This window comes from Homo sapiens, chromosome 21 (genome assembly GCF_000001405.40).
Source record: "Homo sapiens chromosome 21, GRCh38.p14 Primary Assembly".
Lineage (NCBI taxonomy): Eukaryota > Metazoa > Chordata > Mammalia > Primates > Hominidae > Homo > Homo sapiens.
In genome coordinates this window covers 37183158-37204858 of record NC_000021.9, presented here as the reverse complement: position 1 = coordinate 37204858, position 21701 = coordinate 37183158, and the positions used below count along the sequence as shown (strand labels likewise).

Genomic DNA, 21701 nt, shown 5'->3' with positions numbered 1-21701 from the left:
TCCTACTCTTTCTTGTGCAATTTCCAGGCCCTTAATCTTAGTGACAGTTAGTTGTTAGCTCCGGTTATCACGAGTTTGTGTGCAGGCACTGTGCTGAGCACTTCACCAGGAATTTACTCATCTGTATACCCTCCCAGCTTCTCCTTCTGATACCTTCTTTCTTTCTGAGGTCATACTGCAGATGCTTTTTGGTCCTCATTCTGACCAACCATCCTATCACTTTACGGCCTCTGCTTTTTCAGCCTCCTGAGTAAGTACCTCAGGCTGACAGAAGGAACTTCCATCTTTGCTATTGTGTCTTCTACTGTTTCCTTTAATTCCCTTCTCCAGTCATCTGACTAAAAAACTACTCTAAAATAGTTTTACTGCTTCAGTTTGTGGTGTGTTGAGCACTTTGACCACCTGCTGCGACTGCACACACACACACACACACACATCCTTTATCCGTGGGAGATATGTTCCAAGACCTCCAGTGGATGCCTGAAACCACAGAAAATTCCAATCCCCACATATGCAATGTTTTCTCCTATACATATGTATCTATGATGAAGTTTAATTTATAAATTAGGCACAGTAAGAAATGAACAACTAGAACTAGTAATAAAATAGAACAATTACACTGTAGTAAAGATTATGTGAGTGTGGTCTCTCCCCCTTAAAATATCTTATTGTACTGCACTGTACTTGCCTATTTTCAGACCACGGCTGACCGTGGGTAACAAACTGTGGAAATCAAAATCACGAATAAGTGGGGGCACTTCTGTAGTCTTTGAGATTACCTTAAAACCGTAGTAACATTTTGCATTGCTGGGGCACCACTTCAATTTTATACCAGGCTATCCATTATTCATAACATAGATTAAGCAGTTCAGCAGGGAAAACTAATCTAAAATCTTTTTTTTTTTTTTTTTTTTTTGAGACGGAGTCTCGCTCTGTCACCCAGGCTGGAGTGCAGTGGTGCGATCTCGGCTCACTGCAAGCTCCGCCTCCCGGATTCACGCCATTCTCCTGCCTCAGCTTCCCAAGTAGCTGGGACTACAGGCACACACCACGATGCCCGGCTAGTTTTTTGTATTTAGTAGAGACGGGGTTTCACTGTGTTAGCCAGGATGATCTCAATCTCCTGACCTCGTGATCCGCCCACCTCGGCCTCCCAAAGTGCTGGGATTACAGGCGTTAGCCACCGCGGCCGGCCTAAATTCTTAAGGAATAGTCATTGCTTTAAATTAAATTAAATGCCATCAGACTAAAAATACGTACTGATAATACTTTGAATACACTTGAAAAAACAGAAGACAGATTTTGAAAATGAGCTTTCTTCAAATGAGCTTTCACTCTGTGAGTGCTCAGCATACCCAGAAGCCCCTCTATAGAGGAAACCCCATCGACAGCCTCAGTGGCCCATAAATCCACAAATGCCTCAAAAAATATACCAAGGAATGCAATTTATCTTCAACATCCTTATATGTATTCACATGAAAAATCTCTTAATTTAGCCTTAAGAAGTAAACTCTATCATCTCTGTGTGAACTCCTATAGTCGATCTTACGCAGGCACAAAGGAAAATTCTGACCCAGGCCCTAAAACGCCCTGAGATCCCTGGTCAGACTCCTCAGACACAGCATGGCGTGGCTGTTCTTTCCTGACGAAAGCACTCTTAAAATGTTAGCATGACATACATGTCCTAAGTTTTCCAGAAGAATGCATTTTTAAACTTCTCTAAGAAAGAATGGACAAGAGTGACAGTGAACTTCTCATTTTAGAATGTTCTTTATTCTGACAGTTGTTGGACAAATATAAGGCATGTTCACAAGTATCTGAAGTTATGTACAAAACACACTCATTCAACGGATGTTCCTCTTCTCCTTTTGTACTTGCTGCTGCAAACTGATCCTCATGCACGTTAACACCCATAGCGCTCAATTCTTATGGATATGCAGACAGTGTTTTGGGGACCACCGTGGAGAATCTGTTTCAAACTAAGGCGTGAGCTTCTAAGAACTAAGTCACTAAGACATCAGAACTCACAGTGAACAAAGGCAGAGGAAGGTGACCAAATCAGCTCATAAACTCATGACTCTAAGTTTCCAGTGGAACAAAGAACACATTGAAAAACATTTTTTGATCCTTCATGTTGGAGAGAAATGGAATGTGACCAGAATTCATGGTTCTATATTTACCACTGTCTAAAAGTCACAAAACAATATCTAATTTTTTCATGGTTTCTAATGCAGTTACAGTTTTGTTCTTAGGTCACAGTACAAGACTGCATGCATACTTTACACAAATATCAAACACAGAACGATTGTAACACAGATACCTCAGGGTTGTCTAAAGACACAGCTTCTCTTTTTGTGGTGGGGTGGGGAAGGAGAATGGTGGTGGCCATTTCCACACACAGCCTGTTGTGTGCTCAGCACGGCTGGATGCGGATCCCAAGCACTCGCTGACTGACTCACAGAAGAGGACAGAAGCTGCTAAGGAAGGCAGCGGAGTTCAAAGAGCAGGCTCCAACCGGGGGCTGGGATGACGGACACACAGCCTCGATTCCAGGGGGAAAAAGTCTTAGTCGATACTAATTAAAAAGTGTTAATGATTTTTGAAAATCAGATTACATCTATAAAAGATGAAAAGCAAACACTTAAAACAATCTAACGGGGGAACATAAAATAATAAAAAATCAAATGCAGATGGGATTTCACAAAGAGGAGATTTGAATCTTTTGGTCTAAATCAGCCAATATTTTAACATTAACTATAAATTATTAAAATATAGTTTGCTTATGCCCATCCTTAAAATGCAGAATCTTTGAGGAAAAATATAGGCATATCAGGAATACAGACTCTTGTAAAAAATTTAAAAAGTCAGTATCATCTCTCTTGTGGAGCTACCAGAACAGGTTTTTCAAACAGAAAAGGGGAACAAACGTGGGGAACAAACGTGGGGCGCTTGGCTATGTTAAGAATTCTTATCACTAGAATACTGCTTCGAGACGTTCATAGTACTTTCCAAAAGAAGCCACCCACCTCAAAGAGCCCTGCGCAGCCCCAGTGACCCATGAGTGTGGTAGCCGTCATTTTATTAGCCACTGTTGGCAATCATCAAAGTATTCACTCAGAGTGGGGAAATTACTTAATATCAGCGATATTAACGATTTCCATGTATTTAGCTTTGTGACACACAATGCACAAGGGTCTTCAAATGTTTGTTTTTTACACCAGTGGTAGAAAATTGTCATTCTTCGGATTCAACACACTGGTGGATGACACTTTAGTGAAGTGTGACTACCTAGAAGAGCAGGAAGGCAGCTCCTGATTCTGACTGGGCCAGCCTCTTCCAGAAGGTGACTCTTCTGTCAGGAGATCACGACCCTGGCAGGCCGGGCAAGCGCTCTGCCCTTTAAGCCACTGCTTAAAGCACTGAAAAGGAGAAAACAAAATCAGAAGATGCCTTCAGGACCATGAGGAAGCTTAGCTCCCCTGTGCTGCTGGGCTCCTTGGCAGGCGTGGCTCACTTGCCCTTGGTCTCTTGGGCCTGGAGCTGCCCAATACTCAGGGACACCAACACCCGCTCAGGCCAGAGTGTGGACAAAGCCCCAGCCGCAAACGATCCCACCTCAGGGTCAGATCCTGAGCGCTCTGGGCCTCCAACCTGGCCTCAGGGGGTGGTCTTGCCCTGATCCCCGGTTCCAGGCTCGGCTCTTCCACTTCAGCTGCGCCAAATTCCAGAGCCTGGCATTCTCGGCCCTATGACCCAATCACTCATTCTTAGCCCATCCCTTGGCCTGGCCTTGGCCCTTGGCTCTGGAACAGCCCTCCAGCCTGCACGCCACACTCCTGCTGCTGCTGCCCACACTGCAGAGGCTGTGGACAGTCAGCTAGCCCAAATATAAGACCCTGTACCCAAGGAGGCACACCACACCAGAGACTTGGCAAGTGGTCTCAATTCCTTTCAGTGAGCATGCTGTATTTATCCCGTTCCAAGGGATTAGCAAATCCCCATGGCAGAGACCTGATCTGTTCTAACCCAGCAGCAGGGGTGCACACAAATGCTCACGGTACCTAGAACACCATGATAGTTCACACACAGATCCCAGAACGGTACGAGCAGGACTGTCCCTGGGTCAGGCAGAAGGGACTCAGCTAGGTTTAGTTTTTCTCCTCTAAAATGTTAAACTGACTTCATATACTACACTAAGTCAAAAAAATGGTTTCACTGTTTCTCCATTTAGTCAAGTGTGTAAGAAATCACCTTTCAAGGAACTAATACTGCTTTGAATCTCAGCACTAACGAGTGGCTGGAGCTGCTGTTCCCCTCTCCCCACAAGGGATGGAAAGGACGGTCTCCAGAGCTGCCCTTCCTGCAGAGCTGGTGTGAGGACAGGGAGGCACTGAACACTGACACGGGAGGTTTGCAAAGAAAATAGTTTGAAAGCACAATAAATACTGATGACTAGAAAACAATTCCTTTCTTATTTTGAAAATATTTGAAGGTCCCAATGCATGCTGTAAGGATGGCCAAAAAGAGCTCTTACCCCTTTGTGATACTTGTGCCCACATTTGAGCACACGCACGTTTTTTGATTTGAACACCTCGTGGCATATTTCACAGGAACTTGCACCCAGTGCCTGTGGAAACAAACACACCTGAATAGTAAAGAATAACTACAGTTGTTTTTATGACACGAGTTCTTCCTTCAAGTGGCCTTCAAACATCTTCTGCCACAAAGGGTGGCAAATTATTCACAATTACAGCTAAACAGTCTGAGGAAACAACTTATTTTTTAATAGCATTTCTTAAGAAAAAATATAAAAATACAAAAAGAAAAGTATAAAGTTCTAATTTCCTCAGAGAAAAAACTGTTTTATGTGACCAGAAGATCCCCAGGTGAAGATTACCATACCTAAAGTACAGTATGGGATAATCACATGGCATGGTGTGAATTAATCATACATTTAATCATCTAACAGTTGAGGGTAGTAAATTCCAACACATCCACACAATGGGCTATTGTGTAGCCAAAAGGAAAATCATGACGGAAGCCCATAATCCCTGACATAGAAAGCTGGCCCCAACAGCCTGCTGAATGAAAGCAGCTAACAAGACAACATGTATCATATATAACTCACTTTTTAATAAAGGGGCTGCATGTATACATACATGCCTAGAAAAACAGTTAACAGTGGTTGCCTCAGGGTAAGGGAGATTTAATCTTTTTCTTTACTATTTTCTAGTTTCTATGAGCATGGATTACTTGTGCAAATCAAAACAAAACAAACGGATGGCTCATCCGGCAAACATCCATGGGCAGGGTTGGTGTCGGGTGCTGGACGCAGAGATGAATGGAGGGCTCTGGCCTCAGCGGCTCACAGTCTGGTGAGCATAGACAGTGCTTTCGATGTGAGAGCAGACCTGAGTGTCGCCTGGGACTCCAGGCACAGTTCTCCCTGCAGCTCACAGCACTTACCCTTACTGCACCATTAACTTCTACTCTAGCTCACTGCCTCTTAACTCTGAGCGCCTTGAAGGCACAAAATGAGTCCCATCTGGGTCTTTAGCAGCTGGCAGAAAACCTAGCTCAAACTCATGCTCTAAAAACCCCTGCTGAGGGAGTGGGCGAATGCAGGCAGCCCTGGCAGTGGGATCAAGTTCAGGGAGTGGCACTGGAGGCATCACCCCAAGGCTGAGAAGACCTTGAACTGCTGTTCAGGGTTTTGCTGTCTCTCCCAAGGCATGACTCGGCCCAGGAGGAGATGGGGCAGATGCTGCAGAAGGAGGGTTCATGCCCCTCCACTGCTGCCCATGACTCGAGGGTCAGGGAAGAAGAGGAAGTGCCAGACCGGGGAAGAGCCATTGAAGGCCTCTCCAATGCCCAGTGCAAAGCTCGGAGCCAGGTTTAGTTTGAAAAAAATATACACTTAACTTGACCGTTTTCTATTTCCTAGAAAAGATGGGCACAGTATATTTCTAACTAAAAGAAAAAAAGGACAACCACAATAAAAAAAAAAATGGAAAACAACCAAAACATTCAGCCCCTCAGAGAACATACAAAGTGTGACTAGCGTATTCAGTTTTGACTAATTCACATATCCATGCATTCAAGAGTTTAGAAAAATATATACCAAAGTGGTAATACTGATTACAGGGCGGGTTTTTAAATGCCCTTTTTATTTGTATTTTCTATTGTATGTAATACTTTGTAATTTGAAAATTAATACTTTTAATTTTAACAAACTATGGTTATCAAATTAGGTCCCAGTTTGAACACATATTTTTCTTTCTCATACAATCTGGTGAAGTTTCAGTAAGTCAGCTTTTATATCTTCGTTACTACAAACATCCATCATGAAGCAAAAACAGAACCCTCTTCTCCAGGCAATCACGGTCTATCTTGGGGTGGGTGTGGCCACACGACACATTGACACATCTGTGTAATTCCAAAGCCATGGTTACACAGAAGAAAATTATTCAAAAATGATTTCCCCAACTGTTCAAAATACCACACTGGATGTACAAAGTTCATGTACTTGACCATCTGCAGCAAAACAAGGGCAAGAGAGAGAAGGCTCAGATCCCCCACGATGGTCAGAGCCCTTGTCACTCATGTGCAGGGGCTTCTCTCCATGCTGGGCCCAAACGTATCACAGCAGACACCATGACCTCGGCCATTCACTGATTGCTCTAACTGGACACATTCAAGTACATTGAAATTCAGTTTCTAATGTTGGGATCAAATAAATTAGGTCTAGAAATGAATGGGGCTAAATCATGGATTAAAAATTTTGTTTGCTTCTTGTTTTTCATTAAAAAACAAAACTATACAGTTATACATACAATCCTCACAGGGACATCTTCTGCTTTCTGCCCCTTGGTTTTGGGTGATGGTGCAACAACCACCGAGGGTGAGCCCTGGGAGGACCTGGTCACGGGGGTGGCAGAGCTGGGCTCATAAGTCCTCTTGTCCTTTCCTGGGTTTGGCTGCGAAAATAACAGGGGTGGCGGGGAGGGGACAAGAGGGAAGCAACCAGTTATCCAACAACTTGACCATCTTCTGTCTTTAGTACATTGCTCTCTAGGTTTTGGTTTGAAGCTTTTTTTTTTTTTTAACAATTCTCATATTTTATAAATAAATAAGGATAAACTGGAACATCTAGATAAAATACCTTTTTCTTTTTCTGTTCATCTAGAATGTGTTCTGTCACTCTTTGGACAATTTCATCAATACTCAATCCTGAGAGTGAGTTCTTGTTTTTGCTTCGCACTTTTTTAATAAAACCAGCAAGCTCAGTGCTGAAAGGGAGAGTGAGTGATGAATGACAACAGAAAGTTCTCTACTGCTAAGAAATATTACATGCCAATATTAATCCAACAGCCCAACCCAAAGAAACAAAGACAAATGCACATAAAATTAATCTGAAGACCACTGATAACAACAATAACTATCTAAAAAGCATAACTTTTTTTTTTTTTTTGAGACAGTGTCTCACTCTGTTGCCCAGGCTGGAGGGCAGTGGCGCGATCCCTGCTCACTGCAACCTCTGCCTCTCAGGTTCAAGCGAGTTTTGCCATTTTTTTTTAAGAAGAGATGGGGTTTCACCATGTTGGTCAGGCTGGTCCCGAACTCCTGACCTCAGGTGATCCACCTGCCTCGGCCTGGCGTGAGCCACCATGCCTGCTGGCTAATCATATTTTAACTGCCCCATTGTTTACAAATTTCAATTTTGAAGCCTGTAATTAACACTGTCTCAGAAACTGAAATAATAGGGCACATGCCAAAGGTCATTCCTGAGCATAGAGTCCTTTGATCCGAGCTGCACTTCAGAGACACCGCCTCTACCTCATCATCTTTCACAGCTGAGACAAGAGGCAACTCTGTCCCCCTCGTAACAACCTGAACAGCGGAAACCAGAGGTGGAGGCAGAAACGCTACTGAAGAGCCTGCCATCATCCCAACTCTATTTACAGCTCTTGCTCACTCAGGTAAGGGCAGCTTTTTCCCACATTCACAAGGACCCCTTGTTAACATGTCCACATGCCCCATTCACTATGGAATTCCATCCAGTCTTCAACCTCACACTCTAACAAATCAGAGGTCTTATATAACAAGGTTTAAGTTGCTGCTGCCTTCTTTGCTATATATAATTTTGTCCCCCCAAATGATGCAAAATTATTGTTTTGCGTTCATTTATTGATACTATAACACTAGTTTTAGACAGTGCTATTGGTCTCATCAAAATCTTAGCAAATTGTCATGGGTTCTGATGAATATTACCCAGTGCTCAATGTTTTCAATTTACATATGCACATTAAAAAATTTATTTGAGGCTGGGTGTGGCGTCTCATGCCTGTAACCCCAGCACTTTGGGAGGCCAAGGCGGGTGAATCACTTGAGGTCAGAAGTTCGAGACCAGCCTGGCCAACATGGTGAAACCCCACCTGTACTAAAAATACAAAAATTAGCCAGGCTTAGTCATGCATGCCTATAATCCCAGCTTCTCAGGAGGCTGAGGCAGGAGAATCGCTTGAACTCGGGAGGGAGAGGTTGCAGGGAGCCGAGACTGTGCCACAGCACTCCAGCCTAGGCAACAGAGTGAGACTCTGTCTCAAAAAAAAAAAAAAAAAGAAAGAAAAAACCCACCAATTTATTTGAAAATACTTATCTCTATATTTACAAAAAGAAAGAAATGTAGCAACTGTCTTTCTGAGCAAAACAATTATGCAACCCTTTTCATGTTAACACCTAACTAGCCATGATTTTATCTAATCAGGAAACCTCAGTTCGATAAAGTATTAAACACAGTCACAGACATTTTCTGTTCATACCTGTTGTAACATGGGAATACCACTGACAGGTGCTCAATAATACTATTGAACGGCTTTTTTGGAGACTGGCTTGAACGCGCAGCACGTCCTGGAGGAACAGGCTGCTTCCGATCAGCCACAGGGCTTCGTTCTGACAGAGCTGCCTGGCCAGCCCGTTTTGGCCCTGTCAGCTGAGTGGCTTCAGGCTGACCAGGGGGTGGCCCTGGCAACAGCGCAGAAGGAGCCTCCCCTGGGGAATCACCAGCAGAGAACACACTAGGATCCCTGTGAAGTGCTGCGTGGTTTCCAGTCACGTCGCTTGCAGAAGTCACAAGCCCTTGGCCATCGTCGCCTGAAGACTCAGGGAGTAACTCGGGATGAACCTGTGAGGAACACACCACACCATGGATCACTTAGGGCTTCCCTTGAAGGATGAAACGCCCAAGGACAAAGGCCGATGAATAAATACAGTAACGCAGCGCAGAGGCTCCGTGCACAGGAAACCTGAATACCATGAATTAAATATTTTCGTTTTAAAAGAATTCTTGACAATAACTTGTTAGTTATTAGAACAAGAGTAGGAGGGCTCAGACTTCTAAATAATTATCTCTATAAGTCACTATTTTCTCTGTAAGATGAGACCATTTTGCCTGCCTACTGGCCCTCCTTCAGCCTCTACCTGGTTACACTTTTCCCCTTCTGAGCTAAACCATGTAGCTGACAGATGGAACATCATGGCCACCACACTCCCCAGAGCTGTCTCCATCCCAGGGGGCCGCCTCCTCTTCCCTGCCAGCTCTCCTGGCAGCTCTCAGGCCTCCGTCCACGCCTGCAGTGCTGACACTCCTCCCCATGCAGCTGCCTGAGGCCAAATCTTTTTAAAAGTTTGCAGTCTAGAATATTTTCCTGAGATCCAAATCTGCAAATCCACTTGGGTGATTCCAAGGCAACTCAAAGTCAGTGTTTTGGAAACCAGCCTCAGGCAGCCTCCCCAGTCCTGCTCTTCCCCTAGTACTCCTGGACGGAAGCCCAAGACTCACCCTCAACTCCCACGTGGACACATGGGGCCTGGTCTCCTGAGCAGCATGGCACCTGTAAATGTACCCCCAATCACCTCTCACATCTGTTCTCTTCCCTCCACCCCCACTGCCATGCCCCATCCAGGACAGGCTGATGGCAATAAACTGATAATCGAACAAATGGAAATCACTCAAGCCCCTCCCCAACATTCCCCCACATTAGTGGCAAGCTCATCTTCAAAAAGCATAGTAGCTTCCCGTAATCCTCAGGGATACATTCTGAGACCCCCCAGTGAATGCCTGAGGTCGCAAAGAGTACCGAACCCTACATATACTGTACATGAATTTCTTTTTCCTTCTTCACAATATCATGGGTAGATTTGTTCTGACCATAGATCTTAGCAACCTCAGGATACGATCTTTTCTCTTTCCTTATTGGGTTGAGAACTTTCAGCTTTTCACTTAAAGGAAGCAATATATTGCTTCTCTATGGCATATCTGATTGACCAGCATCATTACTCCCATGCTTTGGGGCCATTATGGAGTAAAATAGGGGTGACTTGAACACAGGCACTGGGGTAACGCGAGAAGTTCATCTGGTCACCAAATCAGCTTCTAAGTGGCTCGCGGGCAGGGAGCAGCAACAGCATGAAAACACTGGACAAAGGGAGGAGGTCACAATGTGACCATGTGAGAATACAGATTTCATCACGCTACTCAAAACAGTGTGCAATTTAAAACTTAGGAATTATGTATTTCTGGAATTTTCCATTGAGTATTTTCTAACTGCGGTTGACTGCGGATAACCGAAACCACGGAAAGCGAAGCCATGAAGAAGGAGGGACTCCTGTTCTGCTGCTGTTCCCTTATTTGAGACCTATCCTGTCTGGTCTAATGAAGCTAGAAGTGTCTAAGCTGCTGTAACACAGCTTAGAGAAGAAGGCTCCATTGGCTTTGCCCCTGCGTCATACTGGGCTTCTATTACAGTATGAAAGGAGTGTGTTCTCTGTCTCTCTAGGCTCCAGGAGCACTGTGTGTTCCATCTGGAACTCTAACCGTCCAAACACACCCCTCTCACTCCTTTGTCTGGTAAGTTCCTATTGCAGATCTCTGTCTCTGGGAGACTTCCAACTGGGAATCTCCCGCTGAGGCCACACCTCTAGATTAGGTTAGTGGCCCCTGATCCACGCCGCTCCAGCATTCTGCCATGAGAAACCTCACTCTGCTGCAGGTAACAATGGGTTTAAAGTCTGCCTTTCCCCAAGTCCATGTGCACTTTGAGGGCACAGCCCACATCAGTCTTTATCACCACTAATTACCGAATGAATGAATGAGGGAGAAATGAGATACAAATAATTTTTAGGCACACTTATTACTCAAGCTCCTGGCACACTAAGAGTTCCCAGAATTTAGGATATGAAAATCCTTTTGAGTATTGATAAAATAACATAAGCTAGGATTACAAACTAACAGTAAAATATCCTATTGAGAGCCAACGTTTTCTCTATACATATCTGTTACAAGAACTTGGAAAAACGATAAATGATAAGTGCCCTTTAGTGTAATTCTAACTAAAACTGCACATTCAATGGAGAGAAAAAACTGGATCTCAACAGAATATTTTACTCAGTTCAGGGTGGTCACACTTTTTCCACACTTAATTTTTTTTTTTTCAGATGAATTCACAGTAAGTTTGAATGTTTACTGTGCAAGGTACTGGTGAGAAAGAGACATTCAAGGCCAGGCTGAGATCTAATGCACATGAGAGAAGGGACACAGTGGGAGGCCAAAAGAGGGCACGCCTGACGGGGTTTCAGGGGAAGGCAGGATGCAGAGCGGGGACAGTGCTCCAGGCTAGGAACAGCCCAGGCAAAGGTCTGGCAGTAGTGGGAGGGTGGAAGTCAGGTGCTGGGAGAGAGTCTCCTCCGTCTTTAGGAACCAGAAGATTTCACTGTCCTGCCACAACATTCTGGAACTTATATCTTTCAACTCTCACACACAGTCCTCCTTTAATTTTGTTTTTCTTTTTTACCTAAGTTTTCTCTCAAGATCTAACTTTAAATTCCTATGGTCTGATCTCCTCTGGGCCTAATTCATTTCAATTTAGTATTTACTAAGCATCTATCTATGTCCAAATCTAAGAAATATGGGTTTAGCCATGTTGTAAAGTCCACAAAATGCAATTAATGCTTTTCTTTACTGTGCTGTGTATATTAAAATAAAAAGACAAGATTATTCACTGTTATTAACAAGATTCGGCAAATACCTCAAACAAATAGTAAAATATGATGTGCCGGACCAACAAAGCCCTGTATGCCTCAGGCATAGCAGCTTTTATTCTGTATTTGAGGAGGAAACCTCTTAATTTTTAGATTTTGGTCTTATGTCCCAAATATCTAGGAATAAGAGTATAATCTGAGGTGGTGATAGCGGCCTGCTTGAATCACAAAAGCAGTGCGCAACAGGCAACTGCTACTCCTGGATTATTTGTTCAAAGTCAGGAATACATATACAACACACACACACACACACACACACACACACACAAAGATAGAAGACAGGCCAAGGAACATGAGAGTGATAGAAATGTAGCAATGGTGTATTCATCTCAGTCCATCCCTCATACAGATGTAGAAAGACTGATCTATTTTATATAAGAATGTTATAAAGCTTAAAAGGTTAATCAGTAGCACCAATAATGAAACATTAAGGCAATTATTAACCAATCTCATCCTCACTCCCAGGAAACAACAACAAATAACTACTTTGGCCAGTTAACAAATGAATTATGGTTTAAAAAAAAAAAAAAGATGTGCTAGACTTACCGTGTTACAGGCAGGAAATGAAAGCTCAGAAATCTGCACTTTAGAAAGTTCACTGAGCCGAGAACCATTTTTAATTGCCTTAATTTGTTCTTCAAACTGAGACTGTGAGTAGAAAGTAAAGTGTGGGAAAACCACAATTGTCAATTAATACTTTGTTTCTTCCTACACATTATAAATGAAACATAACTGTCTTGGTAAGGAAATTCAAAATAAGACCTCATTAAACCGAATGCTCCAAAGCCTTTTCAAACATAACTCCTCTAATCTTACCAATCAAGGCAGAGGTCAAGATGGTTAATTTAATTAAGAAAATATCACTACTTCCGGCTGGGCGCGGTGGCTCACACCTGCAATCCCAGCACTTTGGGAGGCCGAAGCGGGCAGATCACCTGAGGTCAGGAGATCGACACCAGCCTGACCAACATGGAGAGACCCCATCTCTACTAAAAACCAAAACCAAAAACAAAATTAGCCGAGCATGGTGGCACATGCCTGTGATCCCAGCTACTTGGGGGGCTGAGGCAGGAGAATCACTTGAACCTGGGAGGCGGAGGTTGCAGTGAGCCAAGATCGCACCACTGCACTCCAGCCTGGGCAACAAGAGCGAAACTCCAACTCAAAAAAACAAAACAAAACCATTAGTTCCATGAAAAGCTCATAATACTTTCAACAAAAAAAATTATTGATAATAATAGATAAAAAAGAAATAGATTCAATATGACACCAGCCTCCCGAGAATTATAACTATCATAAAGATTTTGATGGGATTAAAAGATGTTTACAACTTACCTTTGCTTTCTCAATTTCTTTTGTAACATTAGAAAGAAACAATTCCCATGAACGTATATCAGACTCCATGTCAGGATATGCTGCAGGATCACTGAAAAAGTATAATATAAAACTGCTTTAGAAATTTTAAAAATTAAAAGCACTTACGGTCAAATAAACATCTAAACATGAGCAAAAGAGACATTTAACATAATCACATACACACAAAAATCCAACTATTTTTAAGGAATTGCTTATCTTGTAAACTTGCCACTAGAGACACTTTAGAAAATTTTAATTATTAATATAACAAAAACTCTAAAACCGAAGGGCAGAGAGAAAATAAGTCTCCTGAATTTTAAGTTCTTTTCCCAAATTTGAAAGTTTGACCGTTCTTCATCTGACATCTTTATGTTTAATATTAAAGACAGCGTCTGCATTTAAAGATTTTTTAAAAAGGTAGTCTGAAACATTCAAAAGATTCCAATCAAACCCTAATCATTACCTTAATATAAAAATAAAGGATGAGCCTAAGATAAATTTATAATCTCAGCACCTCATGAATCTCAGCACCTCATGAATCTGGTCTATTGAAAGTGACAGATAAATTGACTACTCCTAATTGAGAAGATCAAAAACACTACCAATCTGTGGGTATAGTAAGACCTCATTATACATATTGAAGAAAAAACAGAGCATTCTTTTTACCCCTTTTCTATGTTTCTATACTTTGGTGGAGAAGGCAGAGTTAGCATGGCATCCTGAAGAAAGAATCTTTGTATACTCTACCGTTTATTGGAAGAGTTGATACTATTAGATGAAATGAGTCTGAGATTATCTTTGTTTCCCAGATGAGCCACAATGCAGCCTATGGTGGGTGCTTAGTACAGGCGGTTGACTACCACTTGGTCTCAACCTCAGCTGTACTAGTCCTATATTCTAAATCAGCATTTTACTTTTAATCAGAAAAGTTTTCTCATGAAAAAAAATTAAATCTTGAAAATGAAGAAGGGGCCGGGCATGGTGGCTCACACCTGTAATCCCAGCACTTTGGGAGGCCTAGGCAGGCGGATCACCAGGTCAGGAGTTAGAGACCAGCATGGCCAACATGGTGAAATGCTATCTCTACTAAAAATACAAAAATCAGCCTGGCGTGGTGGTGGGAGCCTATAATCCCAGCTACTCGGGAAGCAGGAGAATCACTTGAACCCAGGAGGCGGAGGTTGCAGTGAGCCGAGATCACGCCACTGCACTCCAGCCTGTGCGACAGAGCAAGACACCATCTCAAAAAAAAAAAAAAAAAAAAAAAAAAAAAGAAAGAAAAAGAACTATACACTAAAACTGTCCGTGATTCACACAATCTCTGGTTCAATGCTGAGGGTTTGAAATTTGAATCAAAAGGCAAGCACCAGGAAGGATCAAAACCCTGGGATTAAAAACACAAAATCTGTGTATAGAACATGGTAAAAGGACTCAATGAAAAGTAATCCCACATAGAGAAGTGCTAAGTACTAGGGTGAAGAAGATCCTCTAGGAATCCCAGCAAGCCTTATCTTAAAAACAAACAAGGCCGGCCGGCGTGGTGGCTCACTCCTGTAATCCCAGCACTTTGGGAGGCACTCCTGTAATCCTAGCACTTTGGGAGGCCAAGGTGGGTGGATCACAAGATGAGGAGATTGAGACCACCCTGGCTAATATGGTGAAATTCATCTCTACTAAAAATACAAAAAGTTAGCTGGGAGTGGTGGCGGGCACCTGTAGTCTCAGCTACTCAGGAGGCTAAGGCAGGAGAATGGCGTGAACTCGGGAGGCAGAGCTTGCAGTGAGCCGAGATCACGCCACTACACTCCAGCATGGGCGACAGAGCGAGACTCCATCTCAAAAACAAACAAACAAGAACAAGGCCAGGTACGGTGGCTCATGCCTGTAATCCCAGCACTTTGGGAGGCTGAGGTGGGTGGATCACGAGGTCAGGAGATAGAGACCATCCTGGCTAACATGGTGAAACCCCATATCTACTACAAATACAAAAAATTAGCTGGGCATGTGGCACGCGCCTGTAATCCCAGCTACTCGGGAGGCTGAGGCAAGAGAATCGCTTGAACCCAGGAGGCAGAGGTTGCAGTGAGCCAAGATCAGGCCACTGCACTCCAGCCTGGGTGGCAGAGCGAGACTCTGTCGCAAAAAAACAAACAAAAACAGGTAGAGATTATGTGGAGAGTTGAAAAAAAATTAACATGTGTGAATATACTTTGTAAACATTCTCGCATGCTGTCATGCAGACTGTTAAATAATAGCTACTATGGAAAGCAACTTGGCAAAAAATTTTAAAAGCCTTGAAAATGTGATCTTCATTCCAAATTTTACTGCATGGAAATGACTAATAATGTGCATAAAAAGTTAACTATAAGGATGCTCACTGCAGGGTGGCTTATATTAACACAAATTCACAAACAACTCCACTGTTCCAGCACAGCAGTGTTTGGTAAATCATGACATGTTTCTATGCTCAATTACTATCCAACTTTTCAAAATTAGGTTGGAGATATGTAATTACCAATATGAAAATAAATTTCCTATATACTATTTAGTAAAAATAATTCATAAATTTTCATTTTTTCAAACACTTCATGAATTTATTCCAAAATACAAATGTTATCTATCCATTTAGAATTAGGAATGATTTTTATCATTTTTGTTTGTATGTCTTAACTTTTCTACAATTGAACATGTATCAATTATATAACTATTAAAAATAAAATGGTCCTAATACAAAATAATGTTTTTCTCAAATGGTCCTAGCTTTATCTTCTAAATGACGTGCTGAGAACACCCACGAAACTGCAATACCGGCTAATCAGCCCCAGCTTCTTCAGAAAGGCTTCTGCTTGTGACTCCATGATCTGTAGCTTATACACTTCACTCTCCTTCCAGTTTTCAAGTACGGATACCTGCCAGTAGATCAGAAGACATATGAGTATTTTACAAATGACAGCCTGAAACTATTTTAAAGGTTAAAACTTAAACATTCAAACCACTTTCCCATTTCTCCTTAAATGAAGCATGACAGAATCATCAGAACTTGATTGTATCATAGGTGAACATGAATTAGACTTTGAGATTTGAAAACAGAACAAAATGACATCACAAATGCATACCTTCCATGATCCTTTTTGCAGATATGAATAACTGTACATGGCTTTCTGCTTAAGCTATATATAAGCACAGAGCCAGGTTAACTGCATGTGTACACGAGTGTGCATTACCTATGGTCCTGCAGCAGAATAACCCTTAATAAAGGCTGCATCCTCTGCAAGTTTAGAAAAGCCTCAGAGAAGCTGTTCTCGGCAAGGGCATCAAAAGCTTCGGGGTATGCTTTTAAGATTTTAGACTCTCTGTGGCTTCCCCACAAACCAACTGGCCATTTTTGTGAGAATCACTGCAGGAAATGTAAAATGGCCTCATGGTCCAAATGATCCATTAAATAGCCTTTTAATCCAGGTGTCAGTAAACTTGACAGGGCCCACCAGGCAAACCTGCTTACCAAACGGTGGTGTGAATTAAACAAGCTCAGGAATACGGATGCTGGTGTAGGACCCAAAAAGTATTCATACTTTGGCTCTTTTTCCTTTCCTGTCCTTAGAAGCAGGTGCATAGTCAATTCTTAATTGAAAAGCCTAATGTTTGCAGACTGTATAAACTAAGTCTTTTCTTACTTTACCAGAATAATCACAGACACATATGCCAATAAATATCATTTGTTTCTCAGCTACAGAAACATAGAGAATCATGTTTCTGGAACTAAATAAAATACAGCCAGATGTCATAATTTTGATTTTTGTCTCAGTAGTTTCTGAAACAGTGTACTGACATTGCTATATATTCTTCTAGGGGCAGAAGGAGCGTATTCTTAATATGTGGATTATTTTCAAGTTCCTTTCCAAGTATTGGCAAATATGGTTGGCTACTTCATGGTACATCACTTGATTAAATATGATGAAAGTATTCAAAGTGTATAATATAGGAAATGGCTGAATTATAATGGTAAATAAGGAAGGCAGGTTACAAAATTTGGTGTACACTATGAGTGCATTTAAGTAACAACATAATACCGGTAAAACATTACAAGGCTATAGGCAAGGAAAAAGAGTGGTCGTTTTAGGGAGGATATATTATGGGTTACAGGATATCCTTTATGCACCACACTTTTCAGTAATGTCTGTTATGCCTCATATGTCATTAAAGAAACACAAAAACAAATGACAAATGCCATAGTGGTCACTAAGTGTCATGGACTCACCTCTGCAGCCACAGCTCTCTGATGACTCTCTTCATAATCCTCTTTCCCTTTCTTTATATACTCTTCTATTTTCATTTTCTCATTTGTAAGTGTGTTGCTACAAATATTGAAGGAAAAAAAAAACTTTCTTGAACAAAATTTCACAGTGAGATGACAAAGGTTTCAGGCTGGATGAGCTTTGAAACCACACCACGATAGCCTCAGCTACATCTTCCAGAGCAGTTTCTCATCTCATATTTTACTACACAATACACAGGCTCAAGTGTGCTCTTTGTGCTTTATAAGTGATCAAAGGCAGATATGAAATGGAAGTGCACATTAGGTGGGCATGCTGAGAATCAAGGTGAGGGTACTGTTCCAGTTCACCATTTTTATGAGGGCAGGTGGAGTACAATCTGGTGACATTAATAAACTGTATAGGCCGGGCACAGTGGCTTAGGCCTGTAATCCCAGTACTTTGGGAGGCCAAGGCAGGCGGATCGCTTGGGCCCAGAAGTTCAAGACCAGCCTAGACAGCATGGCAAAACCCTATATCTACAAAAAATACAATGGTGGTGCGTGCCTGTAGTCCCAGCTACTCGAGAGGCTGAGGCGAGAGAATTGCTTGAGCTGGGAGATGGTGTCTGCAGTGAGCAATGACTGCACTACTGCATTCCAGCCTGGGTGACAGAGCAAGACCCTATCTCAAAAAATAAATAAATAAAAATTTTAAAAAGTAAGCTTTATAAAACATTCCCTATCCTTTGAGCCAGAAACTCTGTTTTGACGCATATTACAAGGACAGAACCCAAAGGGAAAAAGAAATCTGTACAAAATTATTCAAAAACCGGGATGGGAATGTGCGTAAGAAACAATAGTGAGAAAAGCAGAATGCAACTGCTTATCACTGAATGTACTGGTTAGCAGTATGTGAAAACATATTATTTCCATTAGCAAGCAAGGGTTAAAAGGAAACTTTGCATAGATTCATAGTAAAAATTTAATGAACCTATAATTATAAAGCAATAACAGCAACAAACTACCAGCCTACAGTGGAGACGAATATTCCAAGTAACACAAAAGAAAAGTTTTTACAACATGTTTATAGTTTCAAGTTAATCCAAAAAAAGTTGACAACAATAAATTCAGTATTTTTATATTGACAATGGGAAATAAATGCAGAAATCTTGTAAAATAAAAATATTTAAATATTCAAAGAATATATTTATAAATTAATTTTTAAAATGCAACAGAAATAGAAATAAAGAAAACAGAAACATAATTATTTAAAAGAAATAGACAAGCAACAATATATTTCAAAGTCTACTGTGCTTGTACTCCTGGCATTAAAAGTATTAAAATATATTAAAAATAAATTTAAGCTTAATTTGCCTGATTTCAAGGGACTGATCCAGATGTAATTCATGTTCCTTTTCCTTTCCATCATTTTTCTGGGTATACCTATAAAAGCATAATCACCAAATATTAATTAATTTTGAAAAATTTTTAACAGGACCCCCACACAGTAAATTGCACCCATATCCTTAAAAACATTTCTTGATTTTTTAATATATATATTTTTACATTTTGTTTCATTTTTAGTATCTTCTAAATAGGAAAATAATTTGAGGTCATTTCCCTTTTGGGAAATTTTCCTTCCAGATCACCTTTTTCTTCACTCTAAGTCATATGCTTACAGGTAAATCACCCTATCTCAGTCTAAGATGTGCAGCTCAAGCAGAGAACACAGGTACTGCGGCATCATCATCAGTGTAACCAGAGATTCTTATTCAAAATGAGAAGATGTGGATTCTCATTCAAAATGAAAACAGCCTTCTACTCTTTAAAACAGAACTTAAAGTCAAAACAAGCATTCATGCACACACGCGGGTGCGCACGCACACACACACTCACATTCTCTGATAATCCTTCAAAACAAGTGTGTGAATCTCCGATTCTTGAGCCATGCCCTGCACAAGGCGGGTTCTGCCTCTTCTTTCATGCTACCCTGAGATACCTTTGCAGTCATCTCTGTTTACTAAAGCCGCTTGTTTCTAATACAAGCCAGTTTAACTATTATTTTACTTCTTTTGTAAAACACTTCCTCCCTCCTCTAAATAGACAAATACTGGGTGACACTCTGACACTCTCATGGAAGCCCTGCCTTCTTTCATAGCCATCTGTGGTTTGTGTCACTGTACCAATCATGAGCTCTATGTTCTAGTCATTTCTTAACGAATACTAAGTGTGATCAAGAGCACAGAAACATCCAAGAAATCATTTTTCATGTCCCTTGTGCATCTCTGAGAAAGAGATCCAAAAAGTTTAAAGATTTTACTTAAAAATCTAAATAGAAAAATTGAGCTTTAAAGCATTTATTTGGAAAATGTAAAAAGCAGGCCAGGTGCAATGGCTCATGCCTGTAATCCCAGCACTTTGGGAGGCCGAGATGGGTGGATCATCTGAGGTCAGGAGTTCGAGACCAGCCTGGCCAACATGGTGAAACCCCATCTCTACTAAAAAAAAAAAAAAAAAAATAGAAAAATTAGTCAGGCGTGGTGGTGGGCACCTGTAATCCCAGTTACTCGGGAGGCTGAGACAGGAGAATTGCTTGAACATGGGAGGCAGAGGTTGCAGTGAGCTGAGATTGCACCATTGCACTCCAGGCTGGGTGACAAAAGCAAAACTCTGTCTCAAAAAAAAAAGCAAAAAACTTAGAGAGAAGCGTGTGGCTTATCTTTAAATTGTGACAGGAAAGGTAAAGAAATCTAATAATAAAATGGAAAAAAGTCAACAATAAAAAGTTTATTCTCCAGCAGAAATTAACTTTTATGCTAGTACAGAAAAAAAATTTCTTATCATTAACAGCCTCTAGTTACCTTGTCTAGTTTGACAGTATGTCTGAATTGAACAAAAAAAGTATGTTAAATATAAATATTTCCACACTTTTTAGTAACAAAATGACCAAGACTGGTCATGCTCAAATATTAGAGGTAAAAAGCTTTACAGACATTATTGTTTCCGTAAGTGTGTTCTACTAGTGAAGCTACTTTGATCATCAAAATGACATGACACAGGGAGTGAAAATTCTGAGGCAGTGTTTTACTTTTCCTCATTGTTTGAGGACTGCCTAAATGTAATGCTAGCAAGACTCATAATGAAAGTCATCTGATCATATGGCATGCGGCATGGAAAAACACAAAAGCCCTTGAAAGGTGAGTGTGTAGCGTGGCCCCCCAGTGAACCCAGCCTCCCATTATTCATGCCCTTGAATCTGGACCAAGCCTATGACTTGTTTTAAGGAATAAAAGGTAGCAGAGATGATGCTGTGACAGTTCTGGGCCTGAACCTTCAGGAGGCCTAGTGGCTTCCACTTCTGCACCATTTGAAGTCCTTAGCTACCATGTAAGAAGTCTGGCTATCATAATAGAGATCATATGGAAGGACCACATAAATAAAAATCACAGAGAGGCTACACAGAGAGAAAGTGAGGCCAAGCCACCCCAGCATCCCAGCTGAGGCCACCCCCAGTCATCACCCAGCTAAATTCAGCCACATGAGGACTCCTGGCAAGACCAGCAGAAGAATGGCCCAGCTGAACTCAGCCCAGATTGCAGGACCATGAGCAAATACAATGGCTGCTAATAAAGAAACTGACTTTTGGGTGTTTTCTTACACAGTGGTAGAAAACAAGCTGAAGAATTTGACCTATCACTGTTAAGAGCAGAGGGAGGTTAGGGATGGATCACAGAGAATCTTAAAACACACTCTTGGCCCACCTGACAATCATTCCTAGGATCTGTATATGTTATCAAATCGTTCACACTACAAGACAAATTTTAATAATTTATAGATTCAGGATAAAAGTAATTATAAATAATCATCACAGAATCTTACTTTTGAAAAGAACCTTAGATTTTAGACCAGCCCCCATGTTTTGCTGATAAGAAAAAAGAGGGCCAGAGAAAGGGATGGTGTTCAAACTGGAAGGAAGTCAGTTCCTTGGGGA

General features: G+C 41.4%; 1 protein-coding gene and 1 long non-coding RNA gene across 11 annotated transcripts in view, besides 2 other annotated features; one reads left to right on the top strand and one right to left on the bottom strand.

The window, feature by feature from the left end:
- Positions 1–1740: 1740 nt before the first annotated feature.
- TTC3 (tetratricopeptide repeat domain 3) overlaps positions 1741–21701 on the bottom strand; it is a 129865-nt gene continuing 109904 nt past the window's right edge. For 9 of the 10 annotated variants that reach the window (NM_001320703.2, NM_001353936.2, NM_001320704.2 and 6 more), the window contains 10 exons: positions 19085–19153; positions 17714–17810; positions 16264–16364; positions 13435–13525; positions 12646–12747; positions 8823–9184; positions 7163–7289; positions 6834–6977; positions 4535–4627; positions 1752–3419 (listed from right to left, as the gene is read on the bottom strand). In NM_001320703.2, the coding sequence (NP_001307632.1) occupies positions 3285–3419; positions 4535–4627; positions 6834–6977; positions 7163–7289; positions 8823–9184; positions 12646–12747; positions 13435–13525; positions 16264–16364; positions 17714–17810; positions 19085–19153 (1321 nt within the window). In that variant the 3' untranslated portion in view covers positions 1752–3284. Of the gene's footprint in view, positions 3420–4534; positions 4628–6833; positions 6978–7162; positions 7290–8822; positions 9185–12645; positions 12748–13434; positions 13526–16263; positions 16365–17713; positions 17811–19084; positions 19154–21701 lie in introns of all 10 variants that reach the window. The other variant, NM_003316.4, reaches the window with a different exon arrangement.
- Positions 8227–9426: an enhancer, noted in NCBI's record as "CDK7 strongly-dependent group 2 enhancer chr21:38567734-38568933 (GRCh37/hg19 assembly coordinates)". NCBI's record gives its function as "activates an origin of replication core promoter dependent on BRD2, BRD4, P300/CBP, MED14 and CDK7 cofactors, with strong dependence on CDK7, by STARR-seq in HCT116 cells {active_cell/tissue: HCT116}" and the evidence as "EXISTENCE:reporter gene assay evidence [ECO:0000049][PMID:35650434]".
- Positions 8837–9131: a silencer, noted in NCBI's record as "tiled region #9191; K562 Repressive non-DNase unmatched - State 14:Gen5'". NCBI's record gives its function as "represses a minimal TATA promoter and a strong SV40 promoter by Sharpr-MPRA in K562 cells {active_cell/tissue: K562}" and the evidence as "EXISTENCE:reporter gene assay evidence [ECO:0000049][PMID:27701403]".
- On the top strand, positions 10933–17247 carry TTC3-AS1 (TTC3 antisense RNA 1). The gene is made up of 2 exons (NR_046651.1): positions 10933–11051; positions 16216–17247. It is a non-coding gene; the product is annotated as a TTC3 antisense RNA 1 (long non-coding RNA).